Below are 8,369 nucleotides of genomic sequence, written 5' to 3' on the forward strand. Positions count from 1 at the left end.
ATTAGCAGGGCATGGTGGCACATGCCTGTAGTCCCAGCTACTAAGGAGGTTGAGGCAGAAGAATGGAAGAATGGCTTGAACCCAAGAGGCAGAGGTTGCAGTGAGCCGAGATCGCGCCACTGCCCTCCATCCTGGCAACAGAGTGAGACTCTGTCTCAAAAAAAAAAAAAAAAGTTCAGAAAAGGCAGAGTTTCTTCTGGCGAGTCATTCCTTTCTTTGGCTCTGTGACCCGCCCTTTAGGAGCATCGTGCAGATGGACTGGCTTGTCCACCTGGTGGCCCTATCAGGGTATATGGGCTTGGCATGGAAAAAGCCTCTGCTCCTTGGATCACTAATATTACCTTGATCATCATCATTACCTGACCAGAGTACTAGACACAGTTTCATGAAGAGAAAGCAAACCCTTTCATCCTGAAATTTTAACTTAGTTGCTCCTCCCATGGGGTGATTCTTGGTGCAGGGGAGATATCTATTTGCAAATTGAGGGGCATTTGTGTCTACCTTCTTGACTTAGGTGGTTTCTGTTTTGTTTCTCGTTATGGTTGTTGGCTGTCCTTTCAAGATTATTTCTACGCGTCAAAAAGTCTGTGAGCTAATTTTAACATGTCAGGCATCTTACTGGAAACCACACATTTACTCCGAATAAAGCTACAACATGCTAACTAAAACTAAGTTTGTTTGAACTATTCAAACCATTGTGGTCATCTCATTCTTACTAAAAACCTTTTCTGGTAAGTTTCATTTATTTATTTATTTTTATTAGTACAAATGGGAAAATAAAGTGGTGATTCATAGGTATAAATATTATATGGCAAAATTTCTTCAACACTTGAAATTATTAGTACCACCTGAGAATTACATCAGGTCAAATCAGCATTTGGTAAATAGTAGTCACCATTTGTAGAATTAAACCATCCAAACTTCTAATCTATCACCTAGGGCTAAGGACTCACACACTTCAGCTCTGGGGACCAAAATGCTGGCTTCAGGAAGCATAATGATTTTAGCCTCGATACAGTGATGGCATAATCAATCAAGTTGTATCCTGCCTCTTTTCTCTCACCTAAATTTGATTTGTGTGATTATTTATTGCAGACAGTTTTGCAAGCTGACTTTAATCCTATCTTGGAATGAGGTGGAGTATAAAAGAATACAAATCAACAAACATGCTAATGTATTTTAAGAAGGAGATAGGAGAGTTTGGAAATTGGAAAGGGAAATTCTAAATTTTGAGAATTGCTTTCTACTAAACCATCATTGTCCAGGAGTAACACACTAGCTCACTTCTTAATTTCAAGTCAGAAACATTTTCCCAAGCTTATCCTGGCCCGAAGGAACTGTGACGCTGCTGACCACTGATGCTCACCAAGCAATCATCTCTTTGAGGTTTGGTCTCCCACTTGAGTCAGGGAGAGAATGTATGGGGCAGGTTTATTTTCACTGCACATATTTTTCAATGTAGATCTTGTTCATAGTTTTAACTGGGGATTGGTTGGTGTGAGTAACTCGCATGAAACTGAAAAATGCGCTGGACACAGTGGTTCATGCCTGTAATCCCAGCACTTTGGGAGGCTGAGGCAGGCAGATCACCTGAGGTCAGGAGTTCAAGATGACCCTGGCCAAAATGGTGAAACCCCATGTCTACTAAAAATACAAAAATTAGCCAGGTGTGGTGGCGGGTGCCTGTAATCCCAGCTACTTGGGAGGCTGAGGCAGGAGAAGCTTGAACTCGGGAGGTGGTGGTTGCAGTGAGCCGAGATCACGCCACTGCACTCCAGCCTGGGCGACAAGAGTGAGACTCCATCTCAAAAAAAAAGAAACTGAAAAACTCAGATAAGATCAAGTTTGCACCTGTAAGTTGTGGATAGGATCCAATGTATCTTGGATAATTGTGCAGCCTCCACCTCCTGAAACCCTTTCTGGGTGTCCATCTGGTTTTTTTGGACATGGTCCCCCAGATACATTTGCTAAGTTACAACTATATCTTAACAAATATTTATAGGGACCTATGGGGGCTGGGAATAATAAAAAGGGTCTAATAGGTTGGGCAACCCCATCTCTACATCTCTACAAAAAATTAAAACATTAGCTGGATATGGTGGTGCCCACCTGTACTCCCAGCTACCTGGGAAGGAATTTTTAAAATTTTATTTAAAAAAAGGAAAGAAAAAAGAACCCATGATGATCAAAAGATTAGAAGCTACCAGTTTAGCTGGTACATCTTCTTCAGACTTTAGTGGTTTTGTCATTTGGATTGAACGCAGTTCCCACTGAAACTTATTTGGCCACTATCTGAAGTTGAAATATCACACAGTGACAATTGTTTGAAAATTTCAGCTCCCCTTCTCCTGCCTCCTCTTCATCTCTAAGTATTTTCACTCCCATCTACTCATGGCAGTATCTGGCCACTGCCCATTCTCAGACCAGAAAGGGATCAGGAAAAGGCCAGTGTGTGGGGTGAGGCTGACTTCCAACAGTTGAGCTAGTACAGAGCCACTGAGCATTTCCCTCCCTAGGGCTCACTCTTCCTCAAAACTGCTAGTGTCTTGCAGATCCTCTCTCAAAACAAAAGAGGAAGTCAGAGGTGGAGCAGGGAGTGGTTTGAACTACTGGTTTTACTGGAAAAGGATTCCTGTTCCAAACCTCAAGAGCAAGTTCTTCGATCTTGAGCAGGAAAGAATTAAGGACAGGGCGCAGAGTACAGTATAGTTAAAACAGTTCATTAGAAACTACTCTATTACAGAGTAGGGCATCCTCAGAGAGCAAGAGGAGGAATGCCCCTACTTTAAATGTAATGCTTGCTTATACAGGATATTAAGGTTAAGAATAGTTTACTTTGGGAGTCCGAGGTGGGTGGATCACGAGGTCAGGAGATCAAGACCATCCTGGCTAACACGGTGAAACCCCATCTCCACTAAAAATACAAAAAATTAGCCGGGCATGGTGGTGGGCACCTGTAGTCCCAGCTACTCGGGAGGCTAAGGCAGGAGAATGGCATGAATCCGGGTGGCGGAGCTTGCAGTGAACCGAGATTGCGCCACTGCACTTCAGTCTGGGCAACAGAGCCAGACTCCATCTCAAAAAAAAAAAAAAAAAAAAAAAAAAGAATAGTTTACTTTATTATAAAGGCTTGTGATCAAGTTGTGACAGGCTATTAGTATTGTTATTCTCCGGTGTAACTATTGATTTCAGCAATAATTTATGAGTGTAGTATTATCTTTAAAGTGAAACCCATGTTTATTTTTATGTGTTTATTTGCTTACACCTTCACCACCACAAGAAACCCTCCCACCCACCTTTTTTTTTAAGACAGAATTTCACTCTTGTCGCCCAGGCTGGAGTGCAGTGGTGCGATCTTGGCTCACTGTAGCCTCCACCTCCTTGACTCGATCCTCTTTGATCCTCTGGATTCTCTCACCTCAGTCTCCATGCCCAGCTAATTTTTATTTTTATTTTTTTATAGAGATAGGATTCTACCATGTTGCCTGTCACGTGTGTCCGTGTGAAGAGACCACCAACGGGCTTTGTGTGAGCAATAAAGCTTTTTAATTACCTGGGTGCAGGCGGACTGAGTCCAAAAAAGGAGTCAGCAAAGGGAGATGGGGTGGGGCTGTTTTATAGGATTTGGGTAGGTAGTGGAAAATTACAGTCAAAGGGGATTGTTCTCTGGCGGGCAGGGGTGGGGGTCACAAGGTGCTCAGTAGGGGAGCTTCTGAGCCAGGAGAAGGAATTTCACAAGGTAATGTCATCAGTTAAGGAAGGAATCGACTGTTTTCACTTCTTTTGTGATTCTTCAGTTGCTTCAGGCCATCCGGATACTTACACGTGCAAGCTTGGGCTCAGACGCCTGACATTGCCCATGGCTGGTTTGAACTCCTGAGATCAAGCAATCTAACTGCCTTGGCCTCCTGAAGTGCTGGGATTACAGGTGTGAGCCACCATGCCATCCAAGAAACCCATTTTTAAACTAAGAATGCCTTTTTCCATCAACTCATTTCCTCAACCATAAACATTTTGTGATTAACAGTGCCCAATTTCCTGGGAAAGTAACCCAGCAGGTTTGGCTTCATCTGGCCTTTATTCAAGATGAGTCACTCTGATTGGGACACCTCGAATACTGGTGCAAATACCCAAAATGAAACAAAACTGCCTGAACTTACTCATTACCCCCTTCCTTACAAAGCCAGCAGACTTCCTTTTTGTAATTTCCTTCCCCTTCAAGTTTCCTTTCCTTTCCTGTTCTTTCTTTTTTTTCATTCCTTTTTCCTTTCCTTTCTCCTTTCCTCTTTCCTGTCCTTTCCCCTTTCCTTTCTTTTTCTTTTCTTCTTTTCTTTTCTTTCCTTTCTCCCTTCCCTTCCTTCCCCTCCGCTCCCCTCCCCGCTTCTCCCTTTTCCCTCCCTTCCCCTCCCTTTCCCTTGCCCTTTCCTCCCCTCCTCTTCCTTCCTCTCCCTGCTCTCCCCTCCCTTCCTTTCCCTTCCTTTTCCTTTCCTTTACCTTTCCCTTCCTTTTCCTTTCCTTTCTTCTCCTTTCCATTATGGAAATTTTTAAACATGCACTGAAATTAGAAAGAAGCATATGATTTAATCCCCAAGTGCCCATTACATGCAGCTTCAACAGTAATCAACATTTTGCTCATCTTGTTTCATCTCTTCTCCTTATTTTGTTATTTTTACTTATTTGTTTATTGCTGCAGTATTTTAAAGTTAATTGTGAGTTTATTTTTAATGGAGTCTCTGTCTCCCCATGGTACAACTTGAGGCTGGGCAGAGGAAACCAAGCTTGATGAGTTCAGTGCCTCTGCCTGCCTCCCTGGCTCTCCATTGCCGCCTCACAGTTGGAATCAGGTGCGAAAGCTATTTCACAACCTGATATTTATTCTTCTCATAAATGTTGTTGACTACCTTCATTGTTCCACACACTTTGCTTGGCACTGAGGACAAGAAGAGAGATGGCATAGGAAGCTCTCAGCTCAGTGTGCTGGAAGATAAGTAAAAGGGCAATCCTGACGGTTTGGCCTGATTATTTCCACAGGTGGAAGAGTTTTATTTACCATATAGGCCTTCTTAAGTTTGCTTCGTAAATCTAGAGCCATATACTATTCACAAGGCCACAGAATGAACTTCTTTCTAGAAGTTTCCTTAAGAAATCTCAGACTGACTTTTAAAAGCCTCTATTATTTGCTGTTGTGAGGTTAGAAAAACCAAGCTCAAGAATCTCTTTCCACTAGATTTTTACCCACAGTACCTATACATTTGGATGAATTTCTTTCTTCTCAAGTTTCTCATATTTTCTTGAAGTTTCTTACCTGCCAAGAAGGTAAGGAACCAAGAACTAGGAAGTGACCTTCCTCACCTCCTGCAAGACTGGGACTCTGTAAGCCAGATCCCAGGTGGGTTTTTCTGAGAGGATTTTGTAGGCATTGGCTCATCAAAGCTGATTAAAGGAGCACCATTCTCAAAAGTGACATTCTGGCCCACACCTTGGTTGTGTAACTGTTTTTCTGTTATATCCTGGCAAAAAAGAGAAAAGATTCTTGCTGAACCTATTCAGATAACTATACTGTTATAAAAAGTAAGAAAGGAGGTAAGAGTTTCTGAATTCTTAGTTGGAGTATGTGGGTCAGTAAGAATCAGATATCATTTAAAAATGTTTATTTTTGATAAATATTTTAATTTTCAAAAGCTCCTAACTTATGAATTAGAGAGATTTTAAGAAGAAAGGAAAAAACCTTGTTTATATGTTCAGAATAGAACATTAAAACAACATCAACATTAAAGCAGAACTTTAAAACAATATTCCAAACAAATAACTACAACGTTTCTTTATAAGTTCATTCAGCTTTACATAATTAATTCTTATTCTGTTGAAACTTGAGTTAACTGTCATGAAGAGGTTTTTTTTTTAAATAAAAAAACTAAAATGAGTTTTGGAAATCTGGAGTCAGTCTACAGGTTTGATATAAAAAAAATTTTTTTTTTTTTTGAGATGGAGACTGGCTTTGTCACCTAGGCTTGACTGCAGTGGTGCGATCTCTATTCTCTGCAACCTCCACCTCCCAAGTTCAAGTGATTCTCCTGCCTCAGCCTCCCAAGTAGCTGGGATTACAGGCCCCCCGCCACCACTCCCGGCTAATTTTTTTTGTATTTTTAGTATAGACAGGGCTTTGTCATGTTGGCCAGGCTGATCTCAAACTCCTGATCTCAGGTGATCCACCCGCCTTGGCCTCCCAGAGTGCTGGGATTACAGGCGTGAGCCACTGCACCCAGCCTGATCTAAAAATTGTCTAAATGATGTTACATCAAAAGCCTATATCCAAGTATATGCTTTGAAGTATTAATAGTTTGAAATATCTGGTACAATCGTTTTTCATGAGGCTTTGAGACTGTCCTTCTTTATTGAAGACACAAATTGTGGCCTGTAATTTATAGCAGAGTCTTTAGGCAAACATTAGAGTAGAGCAAAAACTATCTGTAGGTGACAGAGCTTTAAAATGACTGTGGTTAGTTTATTACCAATAATTTTCAAATGTGAAAGGTTATGCAGGCTCATGATAAGAATAATGCAACTTACAGGCCGGGCGCGGTGGCTCACGCCTGTAATCCCAGCACTTTGGGAAGCCGAGGCGGGCGGATCACGAGGTCAGGAGATCAAGACCATCCTGGCTAACATGGTGAAACCCTGTCTCTACTAAAAATACAAAAAAATTAGCCGGGCATGGTAGCGGGTGCCTGTAGTCCCAGTTACTCGGGAGGCTGAGGCAGGAGAATGGGGTGAACCCAGGGGGCGGAGCCTGCAGTGAGCCGAGATCGCACCACTGCAATCCAGCCTGGGCGACAGCGAGACTCCGTCTCAAAAAAAAAAAAAAAAAAAAAAAAAAAGCAACTTACAAAGAAATTTGGTTATTTCTTCAACATATACAACCAGATAATAAAGTCATCTCCAATAATTTTTAGATGAAATATCTCTAAAGATAATGATTAAGCCTATTTCAAAGAAGAGAGTGAATATTACTTACACTGATAAAAATGTTTGAATTTTTTTTTTCTTTTGAGACATTCTGTTGCCCAGGCCGGAGTACAGCAGTGTGATATCGGCTCACTGCAGCCTCAACACTCTGGGCTCAGGTGATCTTCCCACCTCAGCCTCCAAAGTAGCTGGGACTACAGGCACGCACCACCACACCCAGCTAGTTTTTGTATTTTTAGTAGAAACAGGGCCTTTCCATGTTGCCTAGGCTGGTCTCAAACTCCTGTGCTCAAGTGATCCACCTGCCTCAGCTTCCCAAAGTGCTGGGATTACAGGCTGAATGAGCCACTGCACCCGGCCTGAGCATGATTTTTATCGAGGATGACACCCAGAATATCAGAGAGCTGGCATCTTTTCTAGCAGAGGTATAGGCTGTAAAAAAACAAAGAACTTCTTGGCAGGAGTGATTCATAAATTAGATGTGATTTTGGGGAGCTCCTTTTGTAGACTGTTGGTTCTGGAAGTTTCTGTTGCACCAGAGTGGTTGTGGTTTGTTTAACGGTTCATATGTTATTAGCAAAACTCTTCCAAGATTGCAGAAGCTGCCCAAATCACTCAGTTAGAAAGAACAAGACATAATGTGGTAACTCCCCCAGAGATCAATCCATGGACTGAACCCATGGCTATGCAGGGCCTGAACAGGTAGAAATCTAGATCAGAGAACTACAATGATTAGAGAGGGGGAACAAGGATCATAAGAATAAAGTAGCAGGCAGACTAAGAAGGGTTGGGTTCTATAGATTGTGAGCAGGTTTGTGTAGTTCATTTTACAAATGTGAATTGTGATTCTTAATAATAACTAAAAATACCTATCTTATATATTCAAGATTGTTTTCGGAATCACTGGTAACCAATTGTTCTCTAGGTCCATGAGGAAATGATTTCACCTGGAACACATTATCAGGGTCTAGGCAGATGCTAAAAAAGAAAAAACAATGGGTGGAAGTCAGCAGATCGGGGCCTCATTCCTGTTCTGCCACTCGCCACCTATGTGGCCTCAGGCGAGTCACTTAACAGCTTGAGGCCTCAGTTTTATTGTAAAACCAAAGAAGTAATTTGAGACCTTCTTACTTGGTGGGGAAGTTGTGAGGATCACATGAGGTTACTTATGTGAAAATGAACTAAAATGTAGCACCATCTGTTTAGGTCCCCAGAAAGCCCAAACAGCACTTTTATATGAATGAGAAGAAAGGCTCTTCCTCCTGGTGAAGTCAACTCAGCGCTAGTTTGTACAGTTTGTTTACAGAGTATAGGTTAGGTTTTCATTTCTATTTACCCCCTTTGCTGGCTACCCTTAAGCAAACCATAATCTTCAGAAATGTTTCTGTAAGAAGAATTATACT

At 41.8% G+C, this 8,369-nt stretch overlaps 1 annotated feature.

Moving 5' to 3' along the window:
- Positions 386-485: an enhancer, noted in NCBI's record as "active region_8080". NCBI's record gives its function as "activates an Ori minimal core promoter by ATAC-STARR-seq in GM12878 lymphoblastoid cells {active_cell/tissue: GM12878}" and the evidence as "EXISTENCE:reporter gene assay evidence [ECO:0000049][PMID:35858748]".

The sequence above is a fragment of the Homo sapiens genome, chromosome 14 (assembly GCF_000001405.40).
Source record: "Homo sapiens chromosome 14, GRCh38.p14 Primary Assembly".
Classification (NCBI taxonomy): domain Eukaryota; kingdom Metazoa; phylum Chordata; class Mammalia; order Primates; family Hominidae; genus Homo; species Homo sapiens.